General features: G+C 40.8%; 1 long non-coding RNA gene across 2 annotated transcripts in view; it reads right to left on the minus strand.

Annotated features, from left to right (window-relative positions):
* LOC107986094 (uncharacterized) overlaps positions 1-21,872 on the minus strand; it is a 71,566-nt gene extending 49,694 nt beyond the window's left edge. Inside the window, exons 1-3 of one of the 2 annotated variants that reach the window (XR_001740740.1) lie at positions 20,831-21,872; positions 2,603-2,655; positions 2,142-2,235 (exon numbers count right to left, since the gene is read on the minus strand). This is a non-coding gene — a long non-coding RNA (uncharacterized LOC107986094). Of the gene's footprint in view, positions 1-79; positions 2,236-2,602; positions 2,656-20,830 lie in introns of those variants that run through there. The other variant, XR_001740739.1, reaches the window with a different exon arrangement.
* Positions 21,873-23,366: the final 1,494 nt, after the last annotated feature.

Here is a 23,366-nt window from a genome sequence, read left to right on the forward strand (position 1 = left end):
TAAAAGTCTTGAAATAAACTAAAAGCAACAGCAAAACTTTAACTTCAAGCAGAAAGACTTCAGTAGTCAATATGGGGCTTCCAAACATGGGTGAAATAATTTTTAAAATGTGTTTTTAAAGGTTTGCAGGGGAAGAAAGGCAGGATTAAAATCATCATTTTTGAGACTTAGCTGTCTCGTTGACATTTGTGTTTTCTTAAATTTTCTTAATGGGTGTATTTTCCTTTTACTGATAACATTAGCCTTCCATTGGAATATGTTGCATTCATTGTTTTAATAATGATTTCAAGAGAAAAGTTATAAATGAAGAAAGATGCACAGACTGTTTTCTGCAATACGTCATGTTCCCTTGAAGATTAATTGTTTAGATTCCAAGTCTGAACTTTTATATACATAAATCAAGTTCTAGCTTAACATTGCCCCAAATTAAATGCATAGCCCTTACCATGTCCTAGAAGGATATATCTGGTTCCTGCCTTTGGGTACACTGTCTCCCAACAACCCTCCCTCTTCCTCACTGTCCAGATCTACGGCCTGTTGCTCAAGTATCCCAAGCCTGTAATTGCTTGAGGACCTTTGCACAGTTTTTGTTTTGTTTTCACAGCCAGGAATGCTCTTCTGGTTCTTTCTATGGTTGGCTTTTCCTCATCTTTCAGTCCTCATTTTAATGGTGTCTCCTCAGAAAGCCTTTCCTGACTATCCTCTCTAAAGCAGCCTCCCTCTCAGGTCATTATACTACTGTGCTGCTCATTTCCTTGGCACACTCATCATTCTCTCCAATTGTCATCTTCACTTGTTTACTAGAGTCTTGCCTGTCTCTTTCCCACAGAAAATAAGTTCAGCTTCATGAACAAAGGACCTTTCCTGAGTTGTGTGGCATTGTACCTTTAGGTCCTAGCACTGTGCCTGACTCAACATAAGTGTGCAACAAATATTTGTTGAATATCCTTAAAACTGAAGACATTCTCATATTACTGACATTACTGTCTGACTTCAGGTGTGAGCCGCCTGTTCTGGATTGGGACTTAAAGAGACACCTGTAAAAGGAGCATCGAATTCAGTAGCTACGATGAGAAAAGCAGATGTGATCAGCAGACATTTCCTGGGAGCTTACTGTGCTAAGCATCAGAGTTTTTTTAAAATATGTTATCATATATGAAAGATATATATAAGATTTCCTGTAAGAATAAAGTTTTATAAGGACTTTGTAAGGTCAAGATGGGCCTGAGTTCTAATTTTATTCTTCTACTTCCTTGCTGTGCAAATTTAGATAACTTAAGTAAACTCTCTCAGACTCATTTTCCCTATTTGTGAAATGAGGACAATAGAAATGACCTCATAGGGCTGTGAGAATCAAAAGAGATAATGCCCGTAAAGCAATGGCTATGTGTGTGGCATATCATAGAAGCTCTGTAAATGTAAATATTCTTGCCTCATTCCATGAAATAATGTTTGATGCACTCTGCTAGAGAAACTTATAAATAATATTTAATTCACACTTATTTTGAATCTATATAACCTCCCAAACCAGTGAAGTACTAACATTTTTTTTTGACATGGTTATCTAACAATCCATGGAGAGCATTGCCCTACCAAAATCCATACCCCACTCTTCCAAAAGAACCCCAAATTTATTTGTGGTAGTAATGTGCTGAGCTAATGCTTTAGCTCCCAGACCCTCAGAAGCTAGAGGTGTCCATGTGGCATGAACCTGGCCAATGACATACATAAGTGGCACCCTCACATGAGACTTCCTGCAAGCTCCTTTGGCCTTTTGACCTTCCATCTCCTTCCTGCCTGGAATGTGAACACAACTCCTGGATGTACAACAACCATCCTGAGAGCATGAGAACAAAGCCACACAAAAAGGTATGGAAGGAAGGTAGAGGGAGTCAGAGTCCTTGATGCTATCACTGTACTGCCATGTCCAGCCCTGTACTGCCTAGTCCTGGATTACTTCTCATGTGACAAATAGCCATCTTATTCATTTAAGTTTACTTGATTTTTTTTGTTACAAGTTAGGGTTTTGTTACAAGTTGGGATTCTCCAGAAAAGCAGAACCAAAAGAGATAGAGATAGAGATGGGGATAAATACAGATACAGATATATACAAAGAGATTTGTTATAAGGAATGTACTTACATGATTACAGAAGTTGAGATGTTCCAACATCTGCATTCAGTAAAGTGGAGATCCAAGAGAACCAATGGTATAAGTTAAGTCCAAGTCCAAAGGTCTGAGAACCAAAACAGCCAATGTTATAAGTTCCAGTCTGGAAGCCAGTAGGCTCAGACCCAAGAAGAGTTGAGGTCTTAGCTGGAGTCCAAAGGCAGGAAAAGACCAGTGTTCCAAGCTCCAACAGTGGGGCAGAGGAGTCTCCCCTGACTCCTGGGTGGGTCAGCCATTGCGGTGTATTTAGTCCTTCAACTGACTGGATGAGGTCCACTTACATTAGGGAGGCAATCTGCTTTACTCAGTCTACCAATTCAAATGTCAATCTCATCCAAAAGCACACCCTCACAGACTCACTGGGAACAATATTCAACCAAATACCTAGCACTCCATGGCTTAGTCAAGTTGATACATAAAATTAACCATCATACCTGCAGCCAGAAACAATGCTGTGATGTACCAGTCCAGACCACCTCATGGGCACCTGCAAAAGAAAATCCAAGGGTTCTTTTAAGAACTCACTTTTTAGTTATGTGTTCTCTCCTCTTCCCATTTTATGTTTAGAAAGCCCACAGGAAGTGGAACGTGAACATAATCATAAAGGAAGTTAAGAATCATGAAGGAAATCAGGCTATGGTAGCTTAAAATGTGTCTAACCCCCAAAGAACAGCTATTGCAAAAATCTTGAGAATAGGTAGAGAGAGCACTGCCATCCCCTTCCCCAATGAGTCCCTTTATAATTGTTCCCAAAGGAACTTTGAAATCTCCAGTGTTGAACCCAGAGAGTGAGACATGAGCCACAGGTTCCCCTGCTGGCCCCAAGAGAAACAAAACGAAGTGTCTCATCAGCATTACAAAAGCTTTTACAATGTAAAATTCAACATTATTTTTGATCATTTTCTCTGATACTTTTGAATTTGTGTATAATGAGCACGTAAAGCACACCCTTATTAATACACTAAAAGTGGTTTTATGAGCCCAAAGGAAAGGTCCTAATTTACATGTGATGCTTGCTCACTCATTCATTTACTTGTTGGATAAATTACTGAATGCTTCCTAAGTGTCAGGCTCTGGGGACACAAAGCCAGGCACTTTGTAAAGAGGTTTAAAGAGCCAACTCTATCCTCTAAGAGTTAGTAATCTAATATTGACACTGATACACATGCAAATACATCCTGGCACAGAATAAAAGAATGAATCCTGGACATTCTTGAACCATGAAGTACCTATGTCACATACAAATTAGTTCACATGGAAGTTAATGTTTACAAATAAGAGTAATTGGAAATGGAATGAAATGTATGCGTATGCATACTTCCATTTCCAGTCTAGCTGAGCAGCCTTGAGTAAGTTACAAAGCGTCTGTGAGCCCCATTCTCCTCATGAAGAAAACGAGGGTAATAATATCCAACAATGAAGGAGTCTTTGATAATTAAAAAGCTAGTAAAGCATATAGTACAGTGCCCAGCACAGAGCAAGTGGAAAATGCTATTTACAGCTACTTCTACAGTGATGATGATTGCTCAAACATTGATTCCACTAATAAAGGGTTTGCACATTACAGGTATTTTTTTTTAACTTTTATTTTAGATTCGGGGGTACATGTGAAGGTTTGTTACATAGGTAAACTCATGTCATAAGGGTTTATTGTACCAATTATTTCATCACCCAGGAATTAAGCCCAGTACCCAACAGTTATCTTTTCTGCTCCTCTCCCTCCTCCCACCCTCCACCATCAAGTAGGCTCCAGTGTCTGTTGTTTCCTTCTTTGTGTCCATAAGTTCTTATCATTTAGCTCCCACTTATAAGTGAGAACATGCTGTACTTGGTTTTCTGTTCCTGCATTTCTTTGCTGAGGATTATGGCCTCCAGCTCCATCCATGTTCCTGCAAAAGAGATGATCTCATTCATTTTTAGGGCTGCATAGCATTCCATGGTGTTTATGTACCATATTTTCTTTATCTGATCTGTCACTGATGTGCACTTAGGTTGATTCCATGTCTTTGCTAATGTGAGTAGTGCTGCAATGAACATTCACGTGTATGTGTCTTTATGGTAGAATGATTTATTCCTCTGGGTATAAATGGTAATGGCATTGCTGGGTCAAATGGTTGTTCTGCTTTTAGCTCTTTGAGGAATCACCATACTGCTTTCCACCACGGTTGACTGGTATTTTTAATTGATCAGGTTTATCCTTTTCCTACCAAAAAGTCAGGGTCCCAAAACTGTCCCTAATGACTCAGTTCTCATTAAGACAAAGTGTTTTGTTTAAGTAAATAAGTAGGGGGACTGGAGGTATAAAAAGAAACCAAATTAAGTGATTACTTGAATGCTTTTGCCATTGTGGATTTAGCCACATCTGTTTCATGTTATCTACTGTGGTCTGCTAAAATTCCTGTCATCTCATTTCTCTTTAAATGAACAATTCTTTATTGCTGAAATGTATTTTCTAGATCCTTCTTTTAATGTACTCATATTTCTGTTTAACACACTATTTATTTGTTCATTCATTCATTAAAAGTATTTTTCAGCACCTACTAAGAACCAAGCACGGTTCTGAGTTTAGCATTGTTAAATAATACCAACAAGGTAGACAGGTTCCTGATCCCAAGTATCTTAGTCAAGCCTATGTTCCACCAACAGTCCAAAATGTCTTTCTAGATCCTTTCATATCATGTACTTTCTGGTCAATTCTTATAACATTTCATCCCTTAAAGATGGTTCATATCATCTTTACCTATAAAATTTCTGTCTTTATTTATGGAATATGATTCATTAAGATTATTTTATTTCACTTCTGTTCTCTAATTCATGGTTTCTCAAGTTAGTGGGTCCCCTAACAAACCCTCTACAACATAAACCACAATTGACGTTTAATTTTGGTGGTTGAAAAACAGTTCGTGTCAAGGTTTGATTTAAAAATAAGTCATCCTCTGACACAAATTACATTCCTAATGTAATGTGATGGACACATTAAAAGAAGGCTTTCCAGTAAATTCCTTAGAGTTTCCGTCAGCTCAGCATACAGGAGAGATTGAATATCTGCTCAAAGCATATGTTTATCAGGGACATATGCACTAACACGTGAGTTATTTTTTCAAACAAGATTTTAAAATCCAAGTATTTTTATGTTACAAGACATTAAAGGCACTGATCATTCACCATATGAATTACAGCCGTGTACTGTATGGGGAACCAGTGGGTAATTCTTTGCACATCAAAAGATGTTGTCTCTAAACGTACCACCCTCCCTCTCGGTGTTAATGCTGGCCTTGGCTGATCCCTCATGAAAGACTAGTATAATGTCTTTTTAAATGACTTTTTTTTTTGACTTATGTAACATTCACAAACTAGGTATTCAGGAAAAAAAAAAAAACCTTAGCAAGTTTTTGGGAAGAGATGAAAGCATGTTCTGTTTTAAATGTTCATCTAATCCTTCATAGAGGGATAAAATAAACACGTTTTCAAAAGTTCAGCAAAATTTTTCAGAAGTTCAACAAAAAATTCCTGGAAAGCTAAGAAGTGTCAGTTCCTTTCAGCCCAGCAGCACTGTCCCAGACAATGTTTAACACAGGTGGCACAAGGCCAGTAGTAATGTCCTTTCTGAATCATTTAATTTTTACCCAGGAAGTAATTCATCTAGCAAGCTCTTGCCTCTTTAATCACCCACCAGCCCCTACCTGGCCCTATCATGATGATAAAATGCATTGCTGGCATCCTACTATCAGCCAACAGATAGGAGCACCCCTGGGTGCTCACTGGTTTGAAAACTCTGTGCCTTTCATACTGCCTGTCTCTTATGTTTGTCTGTCCATATTCCCAACAATCTGACTGTCTTAGTTCATTCAGACAGCCATAACAAAATGCCTTAGACCGGATCATTTATAAACAATAGAAATGTACTGCTCACAGTTCTGGAGGCTGGAAATTCCAAGATCAAGATAACAGCAGATTCTGTGTCTGGTGAGGGCCCCATTCCTCACAGATGGTGCCTTCTAGCTGTATCTTTATATGGCGGAGGGGGCAAACAAGCTCCATCCGGCCTCTTTTATAAGGGCACTAATTTCATTCATGAGGGCTCCACCCTCATGACCTAATCACCTCCCAAAGACACCATCTCTCAATACTACTGCATTGGGGATTAAGGTATTAACTTATGAACTTTGGGGGAACACAAACATTTAGATCATAGCACTGATTGATTGAATCTCTGTCTCTGTCTATTTCTATGACTGTTTCTTCCTTTCCCTTTAACTCCACTTCTCTGTCACTATGTGAGTTTCCCTCTGCCTCTATGTTTGCATATCTCTGTCTCTGTGGTCCTGTCTGTATGTATTTCTCTCTGCTCTTCTCTGTTTCCCTTCATCTCCCTTTCTCTTCTCACCTCTCTCTCTCACTGACTCTCTCTCTCTCACACACACACACAGCCACGCACACAAACACACACACACACATGCATGTGCACACAAACACATAAGGGCATTGTTGTCTTATCTTTATCATCAACCCCAAATAGACTGTTACATGTCTCCCACACTATTACAATAAAACTTCTGTCTGAAAAACAAGTTTCTATGTAGAGAAATTTTGAACATTATTAGAAAACAAAATTCCAATACCAGCACAAAGAAGTTCTTTATAGTCCTCTACATCCAGAATTTGACATGAGAACTTCAAACATATAATAAAATCTGTCACATAGACCATTGGTCCAAAATAGCCCTGGAAAGATTCTCAAATCCGTAGGACATCTATCACTGGGTACTAACTGAGTCAGTTATACACCTTATATGTGGATTTACTATAATTTTCAAAGATATGTTATTCAAGGTTTCTCAGTGTCAGATTTGTGGAGGTCCACAATGGGTGATTTCAGGGGGCTCATGAACCTCTTAAAACTGTATGTAGTTTTCTGTATATGAGCATTTTTCAAGAGAAAAGTCCACAGCTCCCACCAAGATTCACAAAGTACTAATAATAAGATTCACCAAAATACTAATAATAATCAGCCATGTGATTGTCATCTTCAAAAAATTATAAATTCATTGTAAAGATTTTACTTTTGGTCAATATATACCTTATCGACCAAGGGATGCTAATAGTCACACACCACCATCATCATATGGAAGTTCAAAAAGTATTTGACAATTAAAACAGGGCTAATCACAGTATTAAAGGCTTATAAATTCCACCTACAGGGAACTGTTTATTTGGCACTGCAGTTGTTTTTTAATCTTTTTTATATTTGAGAACAATTTCTGACATAATTCAAATGCACCCCATCTCCATGCATTTTTACCTTCCTGAATATTTCCATTAGAATCTTTAATTTTCTAACATAGCTGTTTAAATAGACACTGAGAAGAGAGGATAAAGTCATGATGCATTTAGCAAGTAGCTCATTCTATTCTCTACAATTAGTCCCACTGAGGAGTTGAGTTAGATAAAAGTTGGGAAGGTTACCTATTATCTTGCTTCTCAATGCTTTCATTTGTGTGTACTGCTTCAACAACTCCCCAAATAATGAAACTATAGAAAATGGTCAAGGTTAATTCGATGCAGATACTGCACTTTAAATACAATTATCATTTCGTTTCTAAAACGCTTTTTAAAAGAAATGATTGCTTAGGAAATGAGTGAGCAGAGAATGGAAATGAAAACTGTATTTCTTAGCAAGCATGTGGGCTTCAGGAAGCAACAGGAGGCCAAGGTTGGAAGAGTACATTCATAGGTTCCACAATGCCAAAGGGTAAAGCTCTCAAACTGGCCTTCAAGGTTCTTCTGCAGGATGGAGCCCCAATCTTTAGATCCATCCTTATATCTAATGTTCCTCAACAGCCAATTTATCCCTTCTCTTCCTCCTTGAACCCAATATTCTAATAACCCTTCATGCCTGTGCCATGTGGCAGACAAACTTCAAGGTGGCCACCATAACCCCCAACACCTGGTGCTCACCTTTCTCTCGTCCTGTCCCTTTGCATGTGTGCTCCTAACAAATAGAATGTGGTAAAGGTCATGAGATGTTACTCCCGTGATTATGTTATGCTATAAACTCTGTATGGTTAGCAGATCCATTTTGGAGTCTCTCTCTCTCTTTCTCATTCACTTTTCCGTCTGCTTTAACAAGCTGCCACAAACCCTGCAGCCACATGGGAATGAATTCTGCCAATAATTTAAGGGAACTTGGAAGTGGATCCTTTTCCAGTCACATCTCTGGTGAGAACCCAGCCATGGCCAACACCCTGACTGCAAACTTGTAAGAGGCTGAGTAGAGAACCCAGGTTCCTGCCCTATAGAAATTGTGAGATAATTAATGTATATTGCTTGAAGCTGCCAAGTTTATTACACAGACAAGGAAACAAATTAAGCTAGTGCTGTGCTGTCCTTCTAGAATGCTCTTCTTCTTTGGAAATCCTGCCCCTTTTTCAAGAATCAGATCTGAAATCTCTCTTTCACCTTTTTCTCACCTAAAACCTGACAATTTATCCAAGGACCTCCCAAGCAGTTTGATTTTCAGCCTCTTTTCAACACCGTTTTCCCACATGGATGACTCTGGGCCTTAATGTCTCACATGGTACTACATATTCCACAGGGATCATCATGAATTCACATATATGCTCAGTACTCCACTCTCTCTGCCTGATCGTTTCCTCATGATCTTTTGATGGTGCTTCCCTGGGCCTATCACACCTCCTTTTCCACCACTCAACCCTTCTCCTCTCTCTACAACAAAAGCAATCTCTAGCAACATTCCAAATTTCAGTGACACCCCCAGATTTAGACTTGTGACCCAGTTTCTTCTTGGCTTTGAATCCATGCTAATTTTCCCCAGCCAACCAAACCCTCTCTCACATGCTTAAATGGAGGCATGAGGGTTTAATTAGGAATCTTCCTGTTAGTCAGCCTCTCCAGTCACCTCAACAAGGCCCTCGCTGTTGGCTCACTGGAGCAAACAGCTGTGAGACTGGTCTCTCACCAGCTACCTGGCTGCCACTTAAAATATTTCATGCTCAGAGGCACAAAAAATAAGCTCAGGTCTGAGTCCATATGCAGATCATGACAGGCCTACCTCACTTCACTCCACATGAACCTGTACACATCAGATGAGTGCAATGCCCACAAAATAGTACCTGGTATGTATTAGGATGGGTAAGAATTTAAACTGGGAAAGCCTTTTTGGAGGGCAATTTGGAGTACCTATCAAAATATAGGCGTTTGTATAGGGTGATACTCAGCAGTTCAAAAGAATGCTAGGACTTTTGCTTGCGAGAAGAGAGATTAGACACACTTTTTCCTATTTTTCCTGTTTAGTATAACTAAAAGCTCCGGACATTGTATATAACACAAATGTAAGTAAATTCTGAAGGGAGGAACGAAGAAGGCAAACCAGCTAGGGATCTGTGATCAAAGGAATGACACGGTGAGAAATGCCCTGGGTTTTCTTTTTGGCCTTATTTAATAACCCAAGATTTGGAGCTGAAGATGCTGACAACCCAATCTCCACATTAATGTTTGTAACAGTCCTAATGGTCAAAACCTGGAAACAACCAAGATATTCTTCAATGGGTAAAAAGGTTAAACAAACCATAGTACATCTGTGCTATGGAATACTACTCAGCAATAAAAAGGAAGTAATGATACATGCGACTACCTAAATGAATCCCCAGAAAATTACACTGATTGAAAAGGGTCAATACCAAAAGGTTAACTACTGTAATATGCCATTTATATAAAATCTTTGAAATCACTAAGTTATACAAATAGAGGACATAGAGGACATTTAGTAGTTGCCAGGGTTTGAGGAGGAATTGGGGGGTGGGAGGGAAGTAGGTGTGCCAATGAAAAGAAAACAGGAGACATCCTTTTGGTGATGGAAATGTTCTATATCTTTACTGTATGATGTCAGTATTTTGGTTGTGATATTAATTTAGTTTTGCAAGATGTTACCATTGTGTAACACTTGTGAAAGGGTACAAGGGATCTCTGTGTTTTTTTTTTTTTTTTGTGGGAACTGCCGGTGAATCTACAGTTATTCAAAATTAAAAGTTTAGTTTTTTTTTTAAAAAAAAAAGGAATACTATCTCTAAGCTCTCCAAGATGTACTGTTTAAAGAAAATTAAGTTGTAGAACATTATTTACAGTATGGCCCCTTTTATGTCAATATTAACTAACCTTTATAGGTACTTACAGTGTGGCAGGCACTATTCCAAGCCCTGTACACACATTCATTCATTTAATCCTCCTTATAAGTCTATGAGGCAGTCACTATTATTATCTGCATTCTACAGAGAAGGAAACTGAGGATCTGAGAGTTTCAATAACTCAGTCAAGGTCACTTAGCATATGACAGAGACAAGACTTGAACTCAGGCAGTCTGACTCCAGGATTTGTGCTCTCAGCCACTAACTGCATATTTCTACTATCCGTCTGAAATTAATTTTTACATGTACCTTAGTAGAAAAGGATCTTAAAGGATACACACAACCAGTGGCATCCCTGTAAGCAAGCTTATTTTTTTGGAGGGGAAGTGGCCTGTAGTCTTTGCCAATGTCTATGATGCAAATATGCTCAATTTCAAGCTATTAACATGCTGTCACTAAACACAAGGGTTGCTATAAGCCAGCTCCAGCACATCACTGTACATTGTGTCATCGTGTGTGACACAACAAATCAAAATTATGGTGTCCTCAGAAGGGGAAAATGGGAAATTAAAGAGTTTAAAATGTGATTTTTTTTACTTTGTATTATTTGTTTACAATGAAAATATACACATTACTCACACATTTTAAAAATACTAAAAGAAGTAAATATTTAAAGGTGTATCCTACTGGCTTTGACCTTAAAATCCTTTATGGCACATCTCCTCCCAACATATTCCAGTGCTCAAAATACTTCAGTGTACACATTACCTACAGGAAAATCTCTCAGGCCCCTTCTCAGGACACACAAAGCCTCTCAAGGGTTTGTCCTTGGCCTGATCCCAGGCTCAACGCCTTCCATAAACATCTATGCCTCAGATGACCTGCCATGCATTGTCACATTACCATTCCTTTGGTCATGCCATTTTCTGTTCTTGGAATGTCTTTTTCATCTCACTCTCATACTTAATGCTCCACAGCTGATATAAAACCTCCCACTAGGCTATACTGTCCTTGATGGGAGGAGTCATTTCTTATTCATCTTTTTCTCATTTAATCCTCACCAAACCCCTACATGAGATGTATTTGTTAACTATTGCTGCCTAACAAATTACTTCCAAAGTTAGCAGCTTAATGATATTTACTGTTTATGTTTCTATGGGTCAGAAATCTGGGTGCAAATGAATCTCTGCTTTACATTGTCTCACAAAGCTACAAGACAGGGTCACTGGGGCTGCAGTCTCATCTGAAAGCTTGACTGGGGAAGAATCCACTTCCAAGCTCACCCATATAGTTCTTAGCAGGACTAGATTCCTTGTAGGCTGTTGGCCTAAAGTCCTCAGTTCTTCTGTTGGCTGGAAGCCACCCTCATTTCCTTGCCATGTGGACTCCTCCATAGAGCAGCCCATCACATGGCAGCTGGATTCATCAGAAGCAGAAAGCAAGAAGAGTCAGAGAGAAAAAGTACAAGCAATCCAGAAGCCACAGTTTTTTTAAAACCTGTTCTGTTTGTTTGTTTGTTTTAGAGACAAGATCTTGCTCTGTCATCCAGGCTAGAGTGCAGTGGCACAATCTCAGCTCACTGCAACAACTCCTGGGCTCAAGAGATCCTCCGGCCTCAGCATCCCAAAATAACCTACTCTTGAAAGTGCTATTCCATCACTTTAGCCACATTGTATTCATTACAGAAAATCATTAGGTCCAACCCTCTGTCAAGGGGAGGGGAGTACACAAGGGCATGGACATCAGGAGGCAGGGGTCATTGGGATTTGTTTTAGAAGCTGCCGACTCCACAAGACTCCACAGCTGCTGAGGGGCAGGACAAATATGCATAACACTTCCAGTATTTCTATACTGCTACACAACATCTGCCTGTGAGCATGACCTAAAATTCTCTATTTGCCATATGCATCAGGTTTTTTTGTTTTGTATTTTGAGACAGAATCTGGCTCTGTCATTCAGGCTGGAGTGCAGTGACTCGATCTTGGCTGTCACTTGACTGTCACTTGGCTGCAAACTCCGTCTCCTGGGTTCAACTGATTCTTGTGCCTCAACCTCCCAAGTAGCTGGGATTACATGTGAGCACCACCATGCCTAGCTAACTTTTGTATTTTTAGAAGAGATGGAGCTTCACCATATTGCCCAGACAGTTCTCAAATTTCTGGCCTAAGTTATCCACCTGCCTCAGCCTCCCAAAGCCTCCCTAGGGCTCCCAAACGTGGCTCACATTACAGGTGTGAGCCACCGGTCCCGACTAGCCATATGCATTCTTTAAACAAATAAGTCTTGGATGCCTATAATGTGCCAGGTACTGTTCTGGGTGCTGAGGGACAGTAATAATGAAGCAAAAGAAGTCCCATCATCATGAGCTTACATACTAGGTGAAGGAGACAGACAACAAACAAACAAACCAAAAAATTAAATTACATCAGTTGGTAAACAGAGTAAGAATTTTAAAAGATGTTGGGGGGGATAATGGTCAAAGAAGGCCTCTCTGAGTAGAGACATGAAGGAAATGAGGGAGCAAGCCAGGAGGAAATGTAGGGAAAGAGAGTCAAGCAGAGGGAACAGCAAAGGCAAAGGCCCTGCAGTACGACCATGCCTGGTGTGCTCCGGGAACTGCAAGGAGGCCAGTGAGGTGCAAGGGAAGTCAACAAGCAAAAGAGAAGGTCAGAGAGATTGGCAAGGCCTTGAAGCTCATAGGAAGGATTTTGGTGTTTTAAGTGTGTCAGGAAGTTGCCAGAGAGTAAGGAATTTCTTTTCAAGATCCACTCATGTAGTGAGAGACCAAAGTATTATATTTCATGAGCTCTTTCTGACTCTTACTGTTGTCCTGACTTTGTACTGACAGTTTCTCTTCCATCTGTTTCAGAGGATGGAGGATTTACAAAATCGTCAGCCTGTGGCGTTCCCACAGGGCAAGGCTCACCATCATGAACCTAGTCTACTTGTCTCCTTGCACCAAAGCCTTTGTCCCTTTTCTCCTCTTGGATTCATTTGTGAGGTCAATGGCAAGTTTCCAACAAAACAGCAAAAACCTTGTTTTGTTTGTTTGTTTGTTTGTTTTTCTTTTTTTGAGAGAGGGTCTTGCTCTGCCACCCAGGTTGGAGTGCAGTGGCACGATCTTGGCTAATTGCAACCTCTGCCTCCTGGGTTCAGGCAATTCTCCTGCCTCAGCCTACTGAGTAGCGGAAATTCCAGACACGTGCCACCACACCCAGCTAATTTTTGTATTTTTAGTAAAGACAAGGTTTCACCACGTTGGCCAGGCTGGTCTCAAACTCCTGTCCTCAAGTGATCTGCCCACCTCGGCCTCCCAAAGTGCTAGGATTACAGGCATGGGCCACCATGCCCGGCCTCCTTTTTCTTTTTCTAAGCAAACCTCCTGATTTTTCTCTGAACAAACACCATCTAGTTTGACGCAGAACACAGAAACACAGCCAAAACAAAGTCCAAACCCTGGTAAGACGAAAACAAAGTTGAGCCATCCGGAGCACCTGGGTCAGCAAATACTTCCACATTCTCCAGAGTGGACATACAGGGTGTCCTCGTATTTTAAAGATGCAAAATGTCAATATATAAGTTTCTGAAACTATACTTCTTGCCTCGTCCCCTCCTTCAGATTCAAAAAAAAGTAAATCCACAACTCTGATGCACTATAGGGTAGACATGAAGCTGGATTTCTCAACCTTGGAACAATTGACACTAGGGGCTGGATAATTCTCTGTTATAGGGGCTGTGCCATGCACTGTAGGAAGTTTAGCAGCAATCCTGACCTCTAATCACTAGATGCCCGTAGCATCTTTCCAGCTGTGACAGCCAAAAATGTCTCCAGACATTGCTGAATGTCCCTTGCAGCTCAAAATTGACCCAGTTGAGAACAATTTCCATAAAGGCTCAGGTGCATGTTCTTGGGCAAGTTACTAATCCTGTTTGGCCCTCAGTTGTTTGCCTAGAAAACAGAGAATAGACATGCCTAAGAACAGGAAGTCTGAGATCTCTGTCCAAGATCCATGCTTATGTGAATCTGTGATACTCAGTGAAACAATTACACTACATTGAGAGCCTCCAGGTTTGAGCAACATGAAGGCACAAATTGAATCTTACACAGCTCTGTGTATTGTCTCGTCTAGTTTGTGACATACAGTAGGTTCTCAATAAATATTGGTTTAATTATGATTAAATATCACGTGTATGGGTCTTCTCACACTTGGCACTATTAGATGTCCCATATCCAGCACATAGTAGGTATTTAATAAAATTTTAATAGTGTTATTAAATATGGTGAGGTCACCTTAAAATCAGGTCCTTTTTAAATTCAGAAATGTTCAAGTTAACCAGCATTTACTGATCATTTACAATGATCCAAGCACTGGGGAGAAGGATATGAATGAAAATGGCTCTTGTGCTTTAGAGAATCGTGATACAGTGGTACAAGTCAGCCCCGCATCACAGGAGACTCCACTCGACAATGAAAGATGTTATAGTCAGGTAACAGAGGGTTCCAAGTTTCTGAGAATCTTTTACTTGCATTGGTTCTCTGGAAAAATGTACTTTGGAGAATCCAATCCCATTAATATAAGCAATTATATTATATACAAATGAAGTCATTCTCTTTGAATGCTTCATGAAATGAATCACATCTTTCCTCACCTTTCTCACTCGATTACATGCATAATTAAATCTAGTGATGGTTTTATCTTGAGTGCCAACTTAGACACATAGTGGTTTCCAGGAGAACTATGTTAAGGATTCTGAGGCCACATTCAAGCCCATTCTTAATGTCTGCCATGGATGCAGCATGAAGAAATGACTTCACTTCCAAGTATCCATCATACCTGATTTAACCTCTTCTTGATAAGTCAAGATTATATTATAATTATGGTCCATCATATCAGGAAATGACTTCATCATTCTACTTGCATGGATTCAAATCATTGGAATCATCCTGAACTCATCTTTTGTTCTTATACATCACAACCAAATTGTCAACAAGTGCTAATGGCTCTACCATCAACAAAGACTCACCCCCACTGCTGCCACCCTGGCATGAGTTAACATCATGGGTCATCTCCTCCTATTCTTTTTACTGCCATACTCCTCCAACTGCTATTCCTTGAACCTGCCAGGAGCCCTCCCTACTCAGGACATTTTAACTCACTGTTCCCTATAACTTGCATGCTCTTTCTTTACCAGGTAACCTCAAGGTTGATCCTTCCCTTTTGTATTTCCTCACTGAGGACTTCCCTGGCCTTCCTATTTACAGTTGCAACTCCCACATCCTCCCCTTCTCCCTATCCCTTCTTGCTGACTTGTACATATTACTTGGGACCAACTGACATCCTATATATTTTGATTATGTATTTGTTTAGTGGAGACATCCCTTCAGGAAGCTGCATGAAAGCAAGGATTTCTATCCATTCTGTTCACTGTTACATCTCCACCACCTAGAACAGTGCAGGCTCATGGTAATTGCTTAATAAATATTTACCAAATAAAAGAATGGATAAATAAGTGAATTATCAGAGCTATAACTCAATGAGATTTAGGAGTTCTTGGAGTTTTAGAAGCCTGTTTGTCTCTATACTAAATAACCTCATACCATGGTGCTGTGGTCATTTCACTACAGTCAATGAATCTGTCTAGAGCTGCACTGTCCAACATGAGAGCCACTAGCCACATATGGCTATTTGGATTTAAATTTAATCAATTAAAATTAAGTAAAATAAAAATTCAGCCCCTCAGTTGTGCTAGCCACATTTCAAGTGCTCAATAGACCCATGTGGCTGGCCACTACTATATTGGACATTTCCATCACTGCAGAAAGTTCTATTGGCCAGTACTGGTCTGAAACATCCACTCCGGCTACCCTCAAAGTAATTAATTTTCTAATTTGAGGGACCAACCAAACAAGCTTGTTAAAACCATTCATAGTAAGAGCAAGCTAAATATCAGTCAAGGCCTGATGAATTTTCCTAGGAGATTCTGTGCCTGGGCTTTCTGACCTATGCTTTATCCTTCAGGATCTTTTATTTCTTGGCTTTGATTTTTCACTGATGTTCCTGATGAGGTGTTAGGTAGATGGCCTGCAAATAGCAAGCTGCTACAGTATCACATCTTCCATGTAAAAAATGCCTCCTTTACTCAGAAATCTGTTTTGTCAGTCTTTGGAGATAAAGGACATGTGGCACAACTGTCAGAAGTAAAGACGGGACTGGAATAAGATCCTCTTTGTGGCTGGGGATCAGAAAAGGGGTAAGTGGATAGGAAAATAGGAAGTGGACCGATTATGAAGATAGGCAGACAGAACATTATAACTCCAGTGGTTGACATTCACATTGTGAGAGAAACAAGTAAGAGGAACGTAGGGTACACTTACTATTTACAGCTCAAGGATTCTGGAAGACTCAGGAAGAAAAGGCATATGAATTTGAATGATCATCATCAGTTTTCATTTCAATAGATCATGGGGCCCACGTCCTGGTTCATCACAGACATCTCCCATACATGTTATCTCTAATCCTCTTTAAATAATACAGCCAAGTCATTTGCAGAGGTCAGGATGGGCAATGCTCCCTGAAAAGGAGTGATATGGTTTGGCTGTGTCCCCACCCAAATCTCATCTAGAACTGTAGCTCCGACAATTCCCACTTGTCGTGGGAGAGACCCAGTGGGAGGTAATTGAATCACAGGGATGAGTCTTTCCTGTGCTCTTCTTGTGATAATGAATAAGTCTCATAAGATCTGATGGTTTTAAAAGGGGGAGTTTCCCTGCACAAATTCTCTCTTGCCCGACACCACGTAAGAAGTCCCTTTGCTCTTCCTTCATCTGCTGCCATGATTGTGAGACCTCCCCAGCCATGTGGAACTGTTAGTCCACTAAACCTCCTTCCTTTGTAAATTATCCAGTCTCAAGTATGTCTTTATTAGCAGCGTGAGAATGGACTAACACAAGGAGATATTTTCCCTAGCCTGTGTTCCACTCTCTGCTCTCCAGAGGACAAATGAATCTATCACTGCTGAGAGAAGTCCACACTGCAACACTTGTAACTGTCATCTTCAGGAACAAACAAAGTCTTTCTCCCTCTTCTTGTTTAATTACAAACTGCTTTCAGATCCATGAAGGAACTGTAAATACGTCCTGATTGACAACAAGCCTTGAGATTGTGCAAGGCTAACATCAGAGGTTGAGTTCAAATGAGCTACCGATACAATCTGATCTGATTTTAAACCTGTTAAACAACCAAAGGAAAAAGTTAAGTACACTTCTCAAAAAAATAAAATCTCAAGATGACCTTTAATTTGAAACTAAATTGTTATTTATTTAAAAAACATGCCGTGTTTTACCCTCCTCTTTTTTTCCAGTTCAAGACATTCTTTTCTCATGTCGCAGTCAAATGTTCCTATTGTTTTCTGAAGGTCATAGTCTTACATAGTCTTAACATGGTGACTTTTCACTATTTAATGTTTGTTTCATGAATAACATGATTGTTTCCTAATTTCGTTCCATGATTAGTTGGTTCTTTCCTTATCTATGCCTCAATTTTCTATTTTAATAGGCTTGCCAGTGAATTTTTAAGGATTCTGAATAAATCTTGTTCATCTTTCTGTGTTCCCTATGGTACTTCATACAGAATCTGACAATGAATTGGGGTGTATTTGTTGAATTAATGAACAAAGAAATGAGTCGATGAATGGATGTCAGATTAACTAGGTGAAGAAATCATCACAAGTGCCTACGGATGGCCAGTCTCAGCATGGGTGTCCTCACTCAGATCCTACAGCCAGCAGCACATTTACCAATGGAGCTTCATTATCGTGCAGAAAAACCCTGCTTGCCCTGGTTCGGGAGTAACTGGCGGCAGATGAAGGATGGGTACTATGAGAACACTGGAATGCAACACAGCATTCAAACAATCCTAAGGACCAAGGCAGATGCCATGTCCCTGAATTGGTTAAAAAACAAAAAGTCTCTTTGGACTTTACCCAACTTTCAGACAATGAGCATTTGCAATAAGTAGAACATACCAGGAAACAAAGATGACCTGGGAATGCTCCCTTTTAAGTCACATATCGACAATTGATAACCTTGACTAAAATGGCTCTCAGTCACTCCTTCCCATCGCTTTCTAGGTCACACAGCGAAATGAAGTCCAAGCTCTAACTTAGCAGGCCACCATGCAAATACAAACGTCACAGTGGCCATGCTTCTGAGCCTTTGGAAAGGTAGACTTGTGGTAGGGGAAGAACTATGGTTTCTGGTGCCAGACTCCTGGCTCTGCCACGTACTAGCCATGTGACCCAGCCAAACTACTCGACTCCTCTGTGCTTGGGTTTTCTCATATGCAAAATGGGGGTAATAATTGTAACTACCTTATGGGGTTAGAGTACAGACTGAACAAGTTGATATGTTCAGCATTGTAATGTCAAGCACTGAGAACAGTGCCAGGCATGTAGTAAGCCATCAAAAAGTGACTGACACTACAATGATAGTGATGATGATGAGGATGATCTTGGGAAAACTGTACCTCAGTTATCGATTCCCATTCTGGGACACAGCTCATAATATAGATGTCTACTGAACAGACCTGGAGTGTGTTTATAATCCATATGTCCCACGGCACATTATAGAGCAACCGGTTCCACTGTATTTTCACATAAATATTCACATGTGCGAAGATTCTATATCACAGATGTTCTGGGCTGTCACCACAAAAGTAGGAGGTAGCAGAATATAGTGCTTATGACTCAGAATGGCATGAGCTCAAACCCCAGCTATATCACATATTGTCTATGCAGTGTGGACAAATTAATCAACCTTGCTTTGTTTGCTCTTTTACAAAATTGAGATAAAAACAGTGCCTGTTTTCATAGTGCTGCTGTGAAGATGAAATAAAATACTCCATTATACTTTTAAGTTTGTTGCAAGGACTTGTTCAATAGAAGATAGCTATCACAATCTATCCTTTAGGTTAAAATGCAGAGGTAGAAGATTGATCTGTTTGAGTCCATCACAAGACTTTGATTCAAAGAAACATGGACCCTCTGAGCCAGAAGGGGTCTTCAGAATCATTTACCCCAGGCTCTTTCCTTTACAGTTGAGAAAACTTCCCTTCGCTGGAGAAGGGAAGTCGCTTACCCAAGCTTACCCAGCTGAAGAGAGGTAAACTGGGATTAGAAAGCAGTCCTGATTTCCTGGCCTGGGACTCTTTTACCAAGACTGCACTGACTCCCTGATAGAATTCAGCCCTCTTCATTCCCAGACTCTATTTTCTTTACCTTGTCCAATGTGACAGATGCTTCTAGTGTTCCTGAACCATTATCACTCAGCTTTCACCTCTCAGCTGGTGGCTTCTACTACTGGCGGGACATCTCAGAGATATGTTCTGTGCTGCCTCCCTGGGATTCTTCCCTAGGGACTAAGCCGGTTTCCCCCAGAGGTAGCCTGCTCCCTAACATTCGTTGTAATGGCTTCCTTCTTTTCTCTGTCTCAATTCTTCATCCCCTTCCCAGTGCTTCCTAGGATCACCTTCCACATATACTACTTGCACGCAATTCCTTGCCTCACAGCCTGTTTCTGGGGAAGTACAACCTAAGACACCCACAAAATGAATAAATGTTTTTAAGAGAGAAAAAATGGAGGAATAAAATAACATGAAATAGTATAAAATAAAAGACTTTGGGAGAGTATATAGATGCAGTCCATGCGTCACAAAGGGGTGAATCAGAAGCTACATGCGGGTCATTGGTGGCTACTCAGACTAGATCAACTCAAGCTCAGCTATCTTCACATGTCTGTCGGTCAGATATTCAGTCAATGGCAAAGTCAACATACTTACTCCTCCTGTGGACAACCCTGCAACACAGCACAACACAACACAACACACAACTCTCTTTATCAACAACTATACCCACAACTCCACCATCCATAAAATATTCTGTCTGTTTTGCTTCTCCTAAAAGTCTTCCTCCTTCTATGTATTCTTCAAATAGAAATTCCCACCTTCAGGGAACTCAGTTAACTATTTGCCTTCCCCAACACACCAGTGGGGAGGGAAATCTATCAGACTGGTTCTGAGCTCTAGGTTTAGAAGCCAGGCAAGTTGCTTCAACTCCAGGCTTCCATGTCACTACTAACTAGGAATAAGCTATCTGGCCTCTGCAAACATCAGTTTCCTCACCTGTAAAGTGCAGTAGTAATGCTTGCCCTAATAATGCTGTGATGATTTAGTAATACAATGTCTGTAATATACATACTGGCATAAGGGAAGAGTTTAACAAGCAGGAGCAGTAATAGCAGCTGTGACTGTATTGTTATTGTTGTTCTATAAATGCCTCCCTCATTCCCATTGTCATGGCCTCCTGCAACTCTTTCCTGGGTGCCAGGCTCTCTCAGCTAAAGATTGTACAAGCAAGCCTTCCTCCCCTTTCATCACAAAAAACTCATTTGGAGTCTTTCTTTGAACCACTGAGGGAGAAGGGAAATACAGAGTCCTCTGAGAACACAGATGGCACACTAACCTTAAGGGAAAAGGCGTTGGGAACCGGACCAAGGGCCATGGAAAACTCAAGAAAAAAGCTATTGTGATGAAGTTGAAAGCTTCTTGCAAAAAATGATGCATGGCTTTCTGCTTCTAGTTTCAATTTCACTGTAGTGTTGCTGAAGATCTTGAAGAAATTACGTCATTTCTCCCGTCTTTGTATTCAGAGCAAAGCAAACTCACAGAGGGAATTCAACAGGGAGATAAACAGTGAGATATCCGTTTCAAAATACGATCACCATGGTGTCTGAATTCACCTATTTTGCATTAAGAAAATGAAATATTATTTGCAATCCTACATAAGCCCATCTAACAGAATAAGCTTCGTATAGTGAAACAAACTAACAGGCAAACAACTTCTGATTGTTAGGGTGGGCTAACTGGCATAACCAATACACGCCAAACATTCGAGGTTTATTTCTTGCTTGTATAACAGTTTGGATTATAGGGTGCCAGGGGTACTTCCCATGCAGTCATTTGGAGGAGCCAAGCTGGCAGAGCAGCTACCATCTTCAAGATGTAAATTCCATGGTCGCTTGGGAGTTGTCCCCGTTTGAACCAGCAGGAAGAAAAAACAGCCCAGAAGAAGTGGGGAAGGCTCATGGGCCAGTGCTGAAGTGGAGTTCATGGCTTCCATGGACAGTGCATTGACTATCCCAGGGTCTCACAGAACTGAAACGAAGAAGAAAATATGACTGTTGGTGTCTAGTCAACAGTCTCTTCCACAGAAGTCCAGATTTTGATTCAAGAGCCAGGACTTCTAGACCTAGCTACTAAGTAACTATGAAAAAGCAACTCAACATCTGAATCCAAAGGAAAGGCTTGGGCTGCTTGACAACATGGATGGGGAGTATATGAAAGTCTCCTGGATGAACTGATCAAACTCCACAGTGAGATCCCAGGATGACTCCACAGATGTGTGTTACTGGCTGGGAATCACCAGAGTTGGGCTCCTGGCCTGGGTGGCACCATGTAGCATCTTAGGTGGCTGAGGTGGAAATTATCTGGCAATACCAGATTCCTTTTTTTTTGAGACAGAGTCTCACTCTGTTGCCCAGCCTCAGTGCAGTGACATAATATCAGCTCACTGCAACCTCTGCCTCTCGGGTTCAAGCGATTCTTCTGCCTCAGCCTCCCAAGTAGCTGAGATTACAGGTGTGCGCTATCATACCCGGCTAATTTTTATATTTTTAGTAGAGATGGGGTTTCACCATGTTGGCCAGGCTGGTCTCGAACTCCTGACCTCAAGTGATCTGCCTGCATCAGCCTCCCAAAGTATTGGAATTTCAGGCATGAGCCACCGCGCCCGGCCTGGCAATAGCAGATTTCTAAGGTTACTCCCAGCTCTAACTTTCAATGATGAAAACTCATGCATCTACAAACAATGCATGAGAAGATATCAGTTTCTGTAGAGGAGGGTAGAAGCTGTCATCTGTGCTTGTCAAGCATGTTCTTGTATCTCCTAGTTACAGAACACAAAGATCTCAAGTTGCACTGCATGCAAGCAGAACCTAGGTAAGGAGAGAGGGAGATAGATTCCTGCTGATATTATTTGAGATCCTAGATTCCAATGTGGCTGAAGGCAACAAATATTCAAACTTCCTCTGAGTGCACTTTGAATTATCCTCCTAATAAATCCTTCTCAACCTCAAGACCTGCCTCTGTTCCCCCCGCTATGTCCTCACACTGCTTTGTGAATCCCTCTGCTATAACATTTGGCTTGTAGAACTGGAATGACTTGCTTTTCTGGCTATCTTCCCCATAAATTCACAGCCTCTCCAGCACCTAATACAGTGACGTCTGCCCAGAACCTAATGCAGTGCTGGGCATCTAGCAGGCATACAGGAAAGTTTTTCTGAGTGGGTTTGTCCATTGAAAGTTTAAACAATGGGCCAGGCATGGTGGCTTGCACCTGTAATCCTAGCACTCTGGGAGGCCGAGGCAGGCAGATTGCCTGAGCTCAGGGGTTCGAGACCACCCTGGCAACATGGCAAAACCCTGTCTCTACAAAAAAATATTAAAAATTAGCCGGGCATGGTGGTGTGCACCTGTAGTCCCAGCTACTCGGGAGGCTTAGGCATGAGAATTGCTTGAACCTGGCAAGCAGAGGTTGCAGTGAGTCAAGATCGCACCACTGCACTCCAGCCTGAGTGACAGAGAGAGACTCTGAAAAAAAAAATTTAAACTATTACTGCAGAACAGCATTGAATTGTGAAGCATATGGGCTGTAGAATCCGAGCTCTACTCCTGGCTTTTCCACATACCTACCACGTGATACTGGACAAGTGACCCTGCCCCTCTAAGTCTTAGTTTTCTCTTTCATCACATGGGGATAGATACACAAGTTTCTTCACAGAAGCTCTTCTGCATTATGAAGCTTCTTAAAGGAGTTAAATAAGGTCACTTTTGTTGAGCACTTACCACAGTGCCTTTGAAAGTCCCGAAAAAAACATTAGCTGCTATTACTCTCACCATCACCATCATTATTGTCCATTCATGCTCTCTCAAAAGGCATC

The sequence above is a fragment of the Homo sapiens genome, chromosome 3 (genome assembly GCF_000001405.40).
Source record: "Homo sapiens chromosome 3, GRCh38.p14 Primary Assembly".
NCBI lineage: Eukaryota > Metazoa > Chordata > Mammalia > Primates > Hominidae > Homo > Homo sapiens.